Source organism: Homo sapiens, chromosome 6 (assembly GCF_000001405.40).
Source record: "Homo sapiens chromosome 6, GRCh38.p14 Primary Assembly".
Classification (NCBI taxonomy): Eukaryota; Metazoa; Chordata; class Mammalia; order Primates; family Hominidae; genus Homo; species Homo sapiens.
In genome coordinates this window covers 28,659,770-28,675,448 of record NC_000006.12, presented here as the reverse complement: position 1 = coordinate 28,675,448, position 15,679 = coordinate 28,659,770, and the positions used below count along the sequence as shown (strand labels likewise).

The window sequence follows — 15,679 nt, the reverse complement described above, 5'->3', positions numbered from 1 at the left end:
TGCCTGAATATACCACAGTTTGTTTATGCATTCACCTACTGAAGACGTCTCCGTTGTTTCCAAGTTTTGGCAATTATAAATAAAGCTGCTATAAACATGCATGTGCAGGGTTTTTGCATAGATATGCTTTCAACTCCTCTGGATAGGTACCAAACAGTGTGACTGCTGGGTCGTATGATAAGAGTATGATTAGTTTTGTGAGAAACTGCCAAATTGTCTTCCAAAGCAGTTGTATCATTTTGCATTCCCACCAGCAATGAATGAGAGTTCCTGTTGCTCCACATCCTCATCAGCGTTTGGTGTTGCCAGGGTTTTGAATTTTTGCCATTCTAAAAAGTGTGTAGTGGTATCATTGTTGTTTTAATTTGCATTTTCCTGATGATATATGATGTGGAAACTTTTTATATGCTTATTTGCCATCTGTACATCTTCTTTGGTGAGTAATCTGTTCAAATGTTTTGCCTACTTTTTAATCAGGTTGTTTGTACTTTTATTGTTATGCATTGAGTTCTTTGTATATTTTGGGTACCAGTCCTTTATCAGACATGTGTTTTGCAAATATTTTCTCTGTCTGTGGCTTGTCTTCTCATTCTCTTTGAGAGTGCGTTTCGCAGATCCGATTTTTAGATTTTTAATGAAGTATAAGTTATCAATTACTTCTTCCATGGATCATGTCTTTGATGTTGTCATTTTCGGTTTGAAGAGTCGCTGTTCTTCACTGTACAACATCTGAAGCAAGAGACAAAAACCTTTGTGCCCGCGGCTGCTGCAGGGGGGTCTGAGGGCAGAGAAGCGCTTTCAAAGGTTGGGGGCGTTGCGGCTGCCGCCGCCGGAGCGCCTGGCCAGGGCCTATCCCGGGTCCCGGGAAAGGCTGTTGCGTGCAGCTTCATTCTTCCGCGCAGCAGCCTTGCGGAGACTCAGAACGAGGTGCGGGGAAAGAGCTGACGGGTGGATCAAGAAAAGAGGGAAACAAGCAAACGCACCTTCTTAAACTAGAATTCTTGGTGAAGCCAGAGTTCCCAGATAAAGCTTCGGTGTCAGGTGAGCTAGATGGTATGTGTGGCCCGAGCCATTGCATGTGGGGAGAAAGGTCAGGCAGGATTTTCACGTTTTCATCTATTTGGACAGTTCCTTCTTCGAGCGGGGTCGAGAGCGAGAGGAGCGACAGCTCCCAAGGTACATTTCATCATTCAACGTACTCAGATGCAGGGAATTTGGGTTGCATTTTCCATGAGCCTTCGGCTAGCAGAAAATCTGTCAAAAGATCTTGAACAATCCCTTAATTCTTTCCGCCTGGGATTCAATTGCGCCAAGAGGACTAATTGTGCTAAAGCTATAAAAGTGTGCTTTGCTCTCAGTAACGACACAAGCTGGATGTTGTTAGTGTGTCCCGGAAGGAGGTTACTCAGGTGTAATCTGGGTTAGGCTTTAGGTGGAATTCATCCTCAGAGTTGGTCACTCCCTGGTCGAGCACGAGGTAATATAAAATGCTTCGCGTTTTTAACATGACAGGAATTCTCCGTTACAACCGACTTGTGCCAGGGGATGTAGCTCAGTGGTAGAGCGCATGCTTCGCATGTATGAGGCCCCGGGTTCGATCCCCGGCATCTCCAAGGCGATCACGTAGATTTTGTTTAATTCAGCCTCTGGAACAGAATATAAGAAAAACAAAGAAAAAACTATTTTAGTCCTTTCTCATTTTTGCCATTATCATTTCCTTTAAATCGATCAATTTCCTGTCTTTATGTTTGTTTCTCTTCTATTTGGTTGACTAGCCACACTCCATATTCCTGTTTCCTGGAAACTTCCAAGGTGTTTTATTATGTGGTGAGTAATACAAAGTCAGAGGGACAATTCAGAAATGTACTGTTCCTATGAATGCATCCAGGAAGAGGGAATAGAGCTGAATATCCAAGAATGTTTTAAGATCTACTAAATGAGGCCCTAATCCATTCCCAGTCTCCAGTGAAAAACTATCAGTAAAAATAAAATGTCTCCGTATCATAGTTTTTTTTTTGCGGGGTGGGGAAAGTGGAATAGGATGGAAAAGAGGAAAGTAGCATGCTTTTTTTAGTTTTAGTATTCAGGTGGGAGTTGCTTTCAACTTAAGGTCCACTCTATCACCTTAAGATAATGTAGATCTTGTCCTACAGTTACTAACCTGGTAACCATTTTCTCACTGCACGTTTTCAAGGTTTTTGTGTGGGAAAGCTGGTCATAGAACATTTGGGACATTTGGGAAAGTAGTAAAGGTTAGAAATAGCCTGTAGAAATGGAAGGCAGAGTTGGTTAGAAACTCACAACAGGTGGAACGCGGTGGCTCACGTCTGTAATCCCAGCTACTCGGGAGGCTGGGGAAGAAGAATCACTTGAACCCGGTAGGCAGAGGTTGAAGTGAGCCAAGATGGCGCCACGGCACTCCATCCTGGGCAAAAAAGAAAATCATAACAGATTTCCTGACAGCACTGAGAACCCAACTGAGGTTGCATTCTGGGCAACTGTAAGTAAATGAATTTTTAGGTTTATGTTATTTCTGCATTGCACTTATGTTCATGCTTTGATTCATTTGAGTGCTTTGGAATATTGATAATGAATTTGTTCTGTTGCTTCAGTTCACATTTAAAGATACACCAAAAATGCCAATGAGTATTTCTCTGCCATTGTTAAGAGGAAATAATTAAACATGATAAAAAAGAGAGGATCACAATAATAGTGAAATATTACAACGAAACATTATAAGAGGAAATAATGAAACATTATAAAAGCAAGGATCACAATAATAAGAAAACATTACAAAAAAATTAGCCAGGCATGGTGGCAGGCACCTGTAGTCCCAGCTAGTTGGGAGGCTGAGGCAGGAGAATCACTTGAACCTGGGAGGTGGAGGATTACAATCAGACTTGAATTTTACAAAGTTAATTCCATAAATAATGTGGAAAATGGATTGGGAATGGTGGTGAAATAAGATGAAAATAAGACTAGTTCAGATATTACTGGAAGAGTCCAGAAGAATTTTGGTGGGGACTTTCACTGAGAAGTAAATGTCAGAACATGAAGACCTGTCCTATGACCATTCCTTAGGAAACAGAGTAAGAGTAGCCAAATGCTGGAACTTTCCCAGGGGCCTGAACTGTAGACTTTTCCCAAGAGATTGATATCCAGCAAGATCTACCTCAAGGATGAAGCTATCTGTCTCAATCTCTTAATTTCTCAATTAACCTCATTTCCCACTCAGTTTTCTACTTCCAATGGGATCTTTTGGACTGTGGGGAATGTTTAATTTACTTGGAAAACATTTGATTTGCTAAACTTACTGTCTCATATTCCTGCTATCCCAGTTACCACTCTGGATATATGTCCCTCTAATTCTCCACCTATACCTTCATCTCCATACCCCTGTGTTCTTCTGTTTCAATAATGTAGACTTGCAATTTGTCTCTCTGCATATTTCAACTCCACTCTTTGTATCTCACATTTCCATGTTAACAACCACAATCCTTAACTACTTATCCAAATGTTCCTGCATTAACTTAAACCTAGATCTCCCTAATGCATTGCTATTTAAATTAGAAACTACACATTCTCCAATCTCAGGATCAGGAAATAGGTTAGTACCTTCTGAGGCCACATTCCAATTTCCAAATCATTGCATTTCATTTTATTTTATTATTTTTTGAGACTGAGTCTCACTCTGTTGCCAGGCTAGAGTGCAACCTCTGGCTCACTGCAACCTCCACCTCCCAGGTTCAAGCAATTCTCCTGCCTCAGCCTCCCAAGTAGCTGGGACTGCAGGTGCCTGCCACCATGCCCAGCTAATTTTTTTGTATTTTTAGTACAGAATGGGGTTTCACCATATTGGCAAGGCTGGTCTCAACCTCCTGACTTTGTGATCCGTCTGCCTCGACCTCCCAAAGTGCTGGGATTACAGGCGTGAGCCACCGTGCCCAGGCTTCTATCTGCATTTTAAAAACCCTATTCTGGGTTGGGCACAGTGGCTCATGCCTAGCACTTTGAAAGGCCGAGGCAGGCAGATCACTTGAGCCCAGGAGTTTCAGACTTGCCTGGGCAACAACATGGCGAAACCCTGTCCCTATAAAAAACATACAAAAATTAGCCAGATGTGGTGGCATGCGCCTATAATCCCAGCTACTTGGAAGGCCCAAAAGGGAAGATGGCCTGAGCCTGAGGAGGTCAAGACTGCAATGAGCTGTGATTACACCACTGCACTCCAGCCTAGGCAACAGAGTGAGACTCTGTCTCAAAACAAAAGCAAAAACAAAAACAAAAAAATCCTATTCTGGCCACGTGCAGTGGTTCATGCCTGTAATCCCAACACTTTGGGAGGCCAAGGCAGGAGGATTGCTTGGAGTCAGGAGTTTAAGACTAGCCTGGGCAATATAGGTAGACCTCATTTCTAAAAAAAAAATTAGAACAACCACTCTCCCCTAAGCAAAACCCTGTTCCTTGGAGGCTTTGCTTTATGAAACACAATCTGGGCCAGGTGCGCTGGCTCACACTTTTAATCCCAGCACTTTGGGAGGACGAGGTGGGCGGATCACCCTGAGGTCGGGAGTTCAAGACCAGCCTCACCAACATGGAGAAATCCTATCTCTACTGAAAATACAAAATTAGCTGGGCATGGCGGTGCATGCCTGTAATCCCAGCTACTCTGGAGGCTGAGGCAGGAGAATGGCTTGAATCCGGGAGGCGGAGGTTGGGGTGAGCCAAGATCGCACCATTGCACTCCAGCCTGGGGAACAAAAGCGAACTCCATCCAAAAAACCCCAAAAAACAAAAAAACACAATCTCACATTTCTCAGCAAGAAAACTCTTCCTAATTTAATGAAGACCTGGTGCCTCTTTTCTTCCACTCACCCTTGGTGACTTCAGGGGCCATGTGGACAGATCATCCAGCACCCCAGCTTCTCATTCATTTGATCTCTCTTTTCCCAGGAATCTTTATTTCCACTCTATTTAGTCACTAGCACAAATGGCCATGCTCTGGACTTTGTCATGTATCAGTATTATGCCAAAAGAATAAATCCATCAGTATTATGCCAAAATAATGACTCCAAAATAATATAATCCAGTATAGAGTAGTTTATAAGAACACAGACTCTGGAATTAGAATACTCATGTTTAAATCTCAGCTTTTCCGCTACTGTGAGACATAAGGCAGATCATTTAATTTATTTAAACTTAGGTTTTATCATCTGTAAAATGGGGAGAAAATGATGCCAACTCGCAGGACTTTGTGAATTTTAAATAAAATAATACATTTAATAGTTTCTACTTATTAATAACTGACTATGGTAAGAACTCAATGAAAATTAAATATATAAGAATCAATTGGCTGGGTGTGGTGGCTCACACCTGTAATCCCAGCACTTTGGGAGGCCGAGGCGGGTGGATCACCTGAGGTCAGGAGTTCAAGACCAGCCTGACCAACATGGAGAAACCCCATCTCTACTAAAAATACAAAATTAGCCAGGCATGGTGGTGCATGCCTGTAATCCCAGCTACTTGGGAGGCTGAGGCAGGAGAATCGCTTGAACCTGGGAGGCAGAGGTTGCATTGAGCCGAGATCGCACCATTGCACTCCAGCCTAGGCAACAAGAGCGAAACTCCACCTCAAAAAAAAAAAAAAAAAAAAAAAAGGCCGGGTGCAGTGGCTAACACCTGTAATCCCAGCACTTTGGGAGGCCAAGGCTGGTGGATCACCTGAAGTCAGAAGTTCTAGACCAGCCTGGCCAACATGGTGAAACCCTGTCTCTACTAAAAATACAAAATTAGCCAGTCGTGGTGGCAGGCACCTGTAATCCCAGCTACTCAGGGAGGCCCAGGCAGAAGAATCACTTGAACCCAGGAGGCGGAGGTTGCAATGAGCTGAGATCGCGCCATTGAACTCCAGCCTGGGGGAGAAGAGCGAGACTTCATCTCAAAACAAACAAACAAACAAAAACAAAAACAGAAAAAGAATAAATTTAGTTAAAACTCATAGGAGGACTTGTGACAATATCTTAGAACAATATACATGCTCAACAAATGTTAGCTGCTATTATTATTAATATTATTACTATCTGCATTATTTCCCTGTAACTGCCACAAATATAATGACTTAAAACTGCCACAAATATAATGACTTAAAACAACACAAATTTACTGTCTTACATTTCTGGAGTTCAAAAGTCTGAAATGGGTTTCACTGGGCTAATATAAGGGTGTCAACAGGGCTATGTTTCTTGTGGAGACTCTAGGGAATAATCAGTTCCTTTGTCTTTTCTAGCTTTAGCGTTTGCCTGGATTGCTTGGATTGTGGCTCCTTCCTCCATCTTCAAAGACAGCAGTGTAACATCTTCAAATCTCTGACTCTGACCTTCATGCCTCCCTCTTTCACTCATAAGGACCATTGTGATTACATTGTGCTTATCCAAATAATCCAGAATAAATGCTCCATCTCAAGGCCCTTAAATTAATCAAACTGCAACGTCCCCTTTGTCATGTAAGGTATCATGTTCACAAGTTTAGGAATTAGGATATGGTCATCTTTGTGGAGGGTGGCAGGGCATTAGTCTGCCTACCATAGTGTCCCTAATCTGCTTTCTTTTCTGGCAACCTCATCCAGTTACTTCCTCAACTTCTGTTTATCTACTGAAATGCAACTTCTATTTCCTTAACATTTTTTTCTCTCCATGGATCTTTCTGTTCCTACCTTTTCTTTCTTCCATTTCCAGCTTAGATTCCTTGTTCTTTCCCTTCAGCCACATTTCAGCAGTGTCCTCACACTCCTTTGTTTCATAGTGAACATCCTCCCTCAGAGTTCCAATTGTAGATTATTCCATATGGATCTTATTCACTCCACACAGACTGTTTGGTGCTCCTAGAGAATATCACACCACGGTGAAGATTAGTGCCACTCTAAATAAGGAGTAGGCCTTCCAGTCCAGGATGCCTGTACCCACAACCTCCCCTGCCTTCCCACCCACCACAAGGCCTGGAATGCTCATGCTGCTGTTACTCGTACCCCACCTACTTGAAATAAAAGCAAAGAGGCCAGGTGGCTGCTGCACACTCTTCTAGGGGTGGGCTCAAGGGGCAGTTCTGTACTCACCATCTCCTCCTGCATAAGGATTCAACTTGGTATCATCTTCAAAGAGGAGAGAAAGAGCAAGATTAGTGAAATAATTACGGCCTTTGTTACCTTGGGTCCAGACAGGACTTTTGGGAAGTTCAGTCCAACCCTTCACTTTAGAGGCCAGGAAACTTAAGTACAGAGAAGAGGGGTGACTTACTTGTTCCCTTCAATGCTATCCCACTCACTTGCATTTCCCTAATAGGATTCATAGTAGCTACTTCAAGAAGGCTTGACTTCCTCAAGATATCTAATCCTACTTTCTGTACCTTCAGCTGATGACTTTGCCTCCTACTTCAAATTTAAAAATGCCATCAAATGAAAACCATCTTAACTTCCTTCATTAACTTATAAATGTACCTATATTTGTATGCATCCTTTTTTTTCATTTCTGTCTGCTAAAATGGAATAAATATCCCTTGTATCAGTGCTACACAAGCTTTAATGTTTATATAGCATCACCTGTGAATTTTTTTAAGACGAAAATTCCATATGTCTGGGGTAACCCCTGAGATTCTACATTTATTATTTTTATTTATTTGTTTATTTTGAGACAGAGTCTTGCTCTGTCACCCAGGCTGGAGTGCAGTGGCACGATCTTGGCTCACTGCAACCTCTGCTCCCCAGATTCAAGCGATTCTCCTGCCGCACCCTCTCCAGTAGGTGGGATTACAGGCGCGTGCCACCATGCCCAACTAATTTTTGTATTTTTAGTAGAAACAGGGTTTCAGCATTTGGCCACACTGGTCTTGAATTCCTGACCTCGTGATCCACCCGTCTCAGCCTCCCAAAGTGCTGGGATTACAGGTGTGAGCCACCGCATCCGGCCGAGATTCTACATTTATAACTAGCTCTCAACTGATGCTGATGCTGCTGGTCTCTATGCTATACTTTTATTGGGGAGAGCTTAAAGTGTCCACAGCTAGTTCTTCAAAGGTCCTCAGGCCATCTTGTCCTGCATTCACAGGGAATTTGTGCTGTTAATTATTCCTGTTGTCTCTGTCTTCACCCTGTCCTCTGCTGGTTTCTTTTTATTACTATTTAAAATGGTTCAAGTCTCTTCATATTAAAAATCTCCCCTAGCTCCACGTTCTTCTGCAGCCAGCACAATTTCTCTTTCCTTCCAATTCCAGCCACATTTCTTGAAATGGATATTTTTACTCTGTGTCTCCATTCCTCATCTTACTCTCATTTCTCAATCTCCTGAATATAAACTTGATTCTTAGAATTGCAGTGAAATGACTCTTACAAGAGTCACCAATGATTCCCATGTCTCTAAATCTAATGAACTTATTAGCCTTCACTTTACTAAACTCATTTTATCATTTGACACAAATGATTCTTGCTTTGAAACAGCCTTGTCTTTCCATTACAATATATTGCATTGATTTCACGTAAGTTATTTGTAAAATTTCTGTTGTTGTTGTTAAATGTGAGTGTTTTTTAGAGTTCAAATGTAGGCATACTTTCTTCATGCTCTACACATTCTTCCTAAGCATTCTTATATATTACACTTGCTCTACATATCCTCTGTATGCTGCTATTTCTTAAATATATATCTTTAGTCTCTACCACCCTCATTAAATGTTAAGTCCATATAGCCTACAGCATGTCGCCACTGTATTATTCCACAGGCACCTTGCTGCCTTCCTCCCACACATATCTAATTAACCACCAAAGACGCTCAACGCTACCCTCTACTATCTCTCAAAACCATACACTACTTTCCCACTCATTTAATCTAGTTTGCATCTCCAGAAATTCTTCTAACTTATTGTACATATTCATAAGTCAATTTCCCTTCTGTCCTTGTGATGGCCTTTTCCGGTAAGGACCTCAATCCTGGTTAAAACTAATGATGCAGGCCTGGAGCGGTGGCTCACACCTGTAATCCCAGCACTTTGGGAGGCCGAGGCGGGCGGATCACTGGGTCAGGAGATCGAGACCATCCTGGCTAACACGGTGAAACCCCGTCTCCACTAAAAATACAAAAAATTAGCAGGGCGTGGTGGCACAAGCCTGTAATCCCGGCTACTCGGGAGGCTGAGGCAGGAGAATCGCTTGAATCCGGGAGGCGGAGGTTGCAGTGAGCCGAGATTTCTCCACTCCAGTCTGGGCGACAGAGCGAGACTCCGTCTCAAAAAACAAAAACAACAAGAAAAAAACAAAAAACGAATGATGCGCCTTGTCCATATGAGGCCTCTGCAGATCTCATAGTCTTCAGTTAATACAGGTTAAGAGTTTAGCAACTAAGTTGAGAGGAGTGCTTATTTACCAAGATAAGAAAGAGTGAAGGGAAGAAATTTGGAGGTAAAGGAAAAACAAGGTTTTAGTTTTGAACATGTTGAGTTAGAGATGCTGATTAGATATCCATGCGGAGATGTCAAGCAGGCATGAGATCTGTGGAGGCCAAAGGGACAGCTTTTATTTTCTGAGAAACAATGTATACGCTGGGAAAATTCAATCTTCCCAGTGTTTATTCTCAATCAGGTTCATTTAAGCAAATGAGGGATTCAAACTTGCTTAGTTCCAATTGGTTGATACAGCTGAGCCCTGATTGGACAAGGCAGTTGAGCCCCGGTTGGGTGACTTTTAAGCCCAAAACTACAAGTCTTGTTGATTGGATGTTTCTAGGTGGTCGACTGGGGATTTCTTTTTATTTTATTTTATTTTTTTGAAAGGGAGTCTCGCTCTGTCTCCCAGGCTGGAGTGCAGTGGCGCAATCTCGGCTCACTGCAAGCTCCGCTTCCCAGGTTCACGCCATTCTCCTGCCTCAGCCTCCCAAGTAGCTGGGACTACAGGCGCCCGCCACCGCGCCCGGCTAATTTTTTTGTATTTTTAGTAGAGACGGGGTTTCACCTTGTTAGCCAGGATGGTCTCGATCTCCTGATTTCTTGCTAGAGTTTATCTTGGCCCTGGTTACAAGAACTACTCTGGTCTAGGGTTGCAAAGCAGATGTTTGTCATGGGTCATGTTTTCTGAGAACCCAGAGTACATGACTGTTCCCTCACCTGGGCCATGGCCTCTGGACCCTGTTAAATTTTGAGCGGTCTCCATTAGCCACAGGGAGTGCATTTTGTCAGCAGGTGTTCTTTAGATTGAGGCCATTTCACAGCTGGCTGTTATCTTTTCTCTGCTGTCCAACAGAACACCATATCTATTTTGTGTCAAAAGTGTGTCTGGAATCCACCCACACCTCTCTTCCACTTTAAACTGCCTAAGCCAAAAACATTCACTCAATAAATGTTGACTAAGCACTACCTAGTTGCCAGTACTCTTCTAGAAACTGTAGATACAATCGTGAACAAAGATAGACAAATTCCCTCCACTCAGTGAGCTTACATTCTGGAAGACGTCACACTCTCTTGCCAAGATTACCACAGTAGCCTCCTAACCAGTCCCCTGGCATTTCCATTCTTCCTAAAATTCATGCTCCACATGGTTGCCAGAATTATCTTTGAAAAATATATCTTACCGCCGGGCACGGTGGCTCATGCCTGAAATCCCAGCACTTTGGGAGGCCGAGGGGGCACATCACTTGAGACCCAGGAGTTTGAGACCAGCTGGCCAATATAGTGAGACCCAGTCTCTACTAAAAATACAAAAATTAGACTGGGTGTGGTGGCTCACGCCTGTAATCCCAGCACTTTGGGAGGCCAAGGCGGGTGGATCACCTGAGGTCAGGAGTTTGAGCCTGGCCAACATGGTGAAACCCCGTCTCTACTAAAGATATAAAAAATTTCCTGGACGTGGTCGTGGACACCTGTAATCCCAGCTACTCGGGAGGCTGATGCAGGAGAATTGCTTGAACCTGGGAGGAGGAGGCTGCAGTGAGCTGAGATTCCGCCATTGCACTCCAGGCTGGGCAACAAGAACGAAACTCAGTCTCAAAAAAAAAAAAAAAAAAAAAAAAATTAGCCAGGCATGGTGGCGCGGGCCTACTCGGGAGGCTGAGGCAGGAGAATCACTTGAACCTGGGAGGCGGAGGTTGCAGTGAGCTGAGATCTGAACTCCAGCCTGGGTGACAGAGAGACTCTGTCTCGAAATTAATAATAATAATAAATGTAAATATATATATTACATTGTATCATTTCCTACCTCAAATTCTGCTTCAGCTAGCATATGTTTTGCTTCCATTAACGGAAAACCTGACCATCAGTCGTTTAAATGAGAATGGTTTATTGGTCCCACATAACAAGAGGTCAGAAGGAAGGGTTGATGAAGCACCTTAACAACGTCATCAAGGACCCAGACTTCTCGAATCTTTCTGTTAGAGGAACCCCTGCTTACTAGGCCTCTGGTTTAATAAAACATGACCAGAATGAAATAGCGAGGCACTTAAAAGTTACATATAAGGTTAATACTCATGGTCTGAAAATAGTCACATTCTAATCTGACCACCAATTGTAATTGCAGAATATTTATGGGTCATACAGAACACCTCCCACCAAGCCTGCAGAATGTCGAGATGTCCTAAAAGTACAGCCCACTTTACTGAAAGATAACGTTAATGAGCAGGCTTAATGAGTTGAAGGATTAATGGTCATTGATAGAAACAATAGCCCCTACCTTTAGTAAGCACATCTACATATTACAAGTTTAATTATAGCTCCTCATAGTTTTTTGTCTGCTTTTTTTTTTTTTGAGAAGGAGTCTCACTTTGTCGCCCAGGCTGGAGTGCAGTGGCATGATCTCTGCTCACTGCAACCTCCGCCTCCCAAGTTGAAGCAATTCTCCTGTCTCAGCCTCCTGAGTAGCTGGGATACAGGCGCAGACCACCACACCTGGCTAATTTTTGTATTTTTAGTAGAGATGGGGTTTTGCCATATTGGTCAGGCTGGTCTTGAACTCCTGACCTCAGGTGATCTGCCCGCCTCGGCCTCCCAAAGCGTTAGGATTACAGGCGTGAGGCACCACGCCCGGCCCCTCAGAGTTTCTTATAAGTAAAGAAACTAACAAAGGATAGTACGTTCCTCCTCCTGCTTTCTGACACCCTACTTGGTAATGGAGTAGCTCCAAGACTCATCTTGAAGTCGTTCCTGGGTGAGATCCAAGAACCCTTTCTTGGGATCTGGATCAGGCCCTTCTTTTTTCCAGCGACATTTTCATTCTGTCATCCTTAAGTGTCAAGAGTGTCTCTTTCATGATCACAGTAGCTCCAAACACTGTGTTTTGTCTTCAAAGTAGTGTTTCTGAAGCAAGAAAGTAAAGGCAAAAGCAAAGAACATTCTTCCTTAGCACATTTGTCTTCTAACAAGAGAAATACTTGTCCCAGAAACCTCTCAGGAAGGCTGTACTTAAATTGCGTCAGCCACAACAGTGTCTCATACTCATTTCTAAATCAATTGCTATAAACAAGAAATAGATGATAATAATTGAATAAGCGTTTCTCAGGACAGTTCCACTTGGACATTTTTAGAGGGGTTGATTTTCACAGAGACTAGTGGCTGCTACAGACATCTAATGGAAAGGGGTAAGAGTATCTTACAAATAAACACAGCAATTCCTCATAACAAAAATGGTTGTACATTCTGCAAGACTTTTATATGGTTTCTGGAAAATTCATGCAGGTAAGAAAAAAAACAACTAACCCGTTTATAGTTTCTGAACCTTTGTTTTATGTATAAACACAAGTTATTTATTTCTGAACAATTTTTTAATTTTTTTTTGAGACCGAGTCTCACTCTGTTGCCCAGGCTGGAGTGCAATGGCAAGATCTCGGCTCACTGCAACCTCCGCCTCCCGCGTTCAAGCGATTCTTCTGCCTCAGCCCCCCGAGTAGCCAGGACTACAGGTGTGCGCCACCATGCCTGGCTAATTTTTTTGTATTTTTAGTAGAGACGGGGTTTCACCATATTGGCCAGGCTGGTCTCGAACTCCTGACATCAGGTGATCCACCTGCCTCGGCTTCCCAAAGTGCTGGGCTTACAGACGTGAGCCACCGCGCCCGGCCACACTTTTCACATACAGCAAATAATCCAGGAATGTAACTACTTTGTAAATTGTGGAAATGTTTCATAGTACTTTGTTTGGAACTTATTAAAAATTGTTAACCTGCTGGGCGCGGTGGCTCACGCCTGTAATTCCAGCACTTTGGGAGGCTGAGGCGGGCGCATCACGAGGTCAGGAGTTCGAGACCAGCCTGGACAACATCGTGAAACCCCGTCTCTACAAAAATTCGCCGGGTATGATGGCACCCAGCTACTCGGGAGGCTGAGGCAGGAGAATCACTTGAACCCGGGAGGCGGAGGTTGCAGTAAGCCAAGACCATGCCATTGCACTCCAGCTGGGGTGAGACAGTGAAACTCCATCTCAAAAAAAAAAAAAAATTGTTTACCATATTAACAAATCAGTTTGGCAAGGCAAGCATGGCTCTTGGCTTTAAACATCCAACACTACATACCTGTGCCTTCATTACTGTTTCATTCAAACTAATTCTTTTGAAAGGTACAAGAACTTGACTGTATAATGTTTTCTAAAATAGTCATTTATTGGTTTTGCTGAGAGTATTAAAAAGATTGTAATTCCCTACCACTTCCATAAGGAAATATATGTTGTCTTATTACCCATTTTGAATTACTATATTTTTATTTCTCATATGTATACCAGTTAAGGAGTCTTACAAATTTGAAAGAAAAATTGTATCTGTAGCTAGTTTACATTAACTATCACTTTTATTTCAGGATATTAATTGATGTGCTGCAAAAAACTTGTTGTAAAGAGAGAGTATTGGTTCAGTTAAGGTTAAGAACCATGCCCTAATTACATTATGATTCATCCCCTGTGATGAGGCACATCACCCTCTGAAGACAATTAAAATTTTACAAGGAAGAAGGACTGAATGTTAGGTAAACAACCAAAGTAGCACCCTCCATTTCACTACCTTTAGCATAAAATTCCAACTCTTATTTGCCTTTACAAAGTTCTACAGTGTCTAGCCTCTAGAATCATTTATCAAACTTCAATCACACTTTCCTTTTTTATAATTTTTGAACCAACTAAGTTAATTTCTACCAGAGAGCTTGTTACCTTATCTCTTCTTTCTCCATGGAATGTTCCATTTCCTTATCTTTATATGATTGACTCCTTATTGTTCAGATATTTTTTCAATCTACTCCTAGTGGCGTCCTTCTCTCCCTTGCCCTTCCAGTTCAGGGGAACATTCTTTTCAGTAGCTAAGACGGTTTTCCAGACATGATGGCACAATATGAACCTATTGATACATATGTGACATGATGTGATATATATTTTTCAAAATAATTCTGGCATCAAAGTCTTGGTGGCAGCTTTTACGACAAGACAAGAATGCCTATACCATGGAATGAATACACCTCAAAATATATCCACCAGAAATTCCCTTCTTGATTCTTGAAACAACTCACATCATCAGTATTCTCAGTGCACTCTAAGGTCCTGCTTTTTGCTCTCTGAGATAGGGAATTCTGGTTATCCCATACAATTATTTCAAGTGATTGTGGTAAAGGGAGGCCTGCCTTCCTCTCTTACCAAAGAATAGTCAACTATCTATTAAAAAGAAAGAATGATTTAAACTTATATTTCCCAAATCAGTGCAGTGAATGGATTCCTTTTTAAGAAATTGTTAAGGTCTTGCTTTTAGGATTTGTTAGGGAACATCATGCCGATAGTTAACAAATGTTGTGGTCTTGAGTCTGGAGGCAGCCTGGAGGTAGAATTCAGTCCTCTTGTTTTCCCTTTTCTTTCAAGTCAGCTGATTGGGTAAGGCCCATCCACACAATAGAGGGTAATCTGCTATACTCAAAGTCTACTTTCTTTTTTGAAACAAAGTCTCTCTCTGTTGCCCAGGCTGGAACAGATGCAATCTCAGCTAGCTGCAACCTCCGCCTCCCGGGTTCAAGCGATTTTTATGCCTCAGCCTCCTGAGTAGCTGGAATTACAGGCATGTGCCACCACGCCTAGCTAATTTTTGTATTTTTAGTAGAGACAGGTTTCACCAGGTTGGCCAGGCAGGTCTTATTCTCAGGTGATACTCCTGCTTCTGCCTCCCAAAGTGGTGGGATTACAGGCCTGAGCCATAGTGCCCAACCTAGGCAAAGTCTACTGATTTAAATCTTAATCACATCTAACACCTTCACAGAAACTTCTAGACTGATGTTTGACCAAGCAACTCTGACCAAGCAACTCTGAAACTTTGACCAAGAGTTTGACCAAGCAACTCTGCATTCTAACCTAGTCTAGTTGATACATAAAATTAACCATAACACCTGTGTGGTGGCCTGGAGATACCTCTGAAGGCAGTAAGCTGAGGCATTCGTTGTGCTCATCTTGTTTCGCATTTCTCAGAGATCACTGTCCTTCATTGCCTAATGTTCATTGTTTCACATTTTGCCATTTTAGAAATTTTTGGTTGATTCAGGTGGAATAGTAACTCTGGTTCCTGTCACTCTATCCTGGCCAGAGGTTTTCACTTCCCACACTTATCAGATTTAAAGTTCAAAGTGAATCATGTTGGAAGAAACAAGAAGACACACTATGATTCCAAAAAAATCTTGTTTCCAAGCAGAGGTG

The 15,679-nt window shown here is 42.4% G+C and overlaps 1 non-coding gene across 1 annotated transcript; it reads left to right on the top strand.

Annotated features, from left to right (window-relative positions):
* The first annotated feature begins 1,541 nt into the window (after positions 1-1,541).
* On the top strand, positions 1,542-1,613 carry TRA-CGC2-1 (tRNA-Ala (anticodon CGC) 2-1). Its single transcript has one exon. It is a non-coding gene; the product is annotated as a tRNA-Ala (tRNA).
* The last annotated feature ends 14,066 nt before the right edge of the window (positions 1,614-15,679 follow it).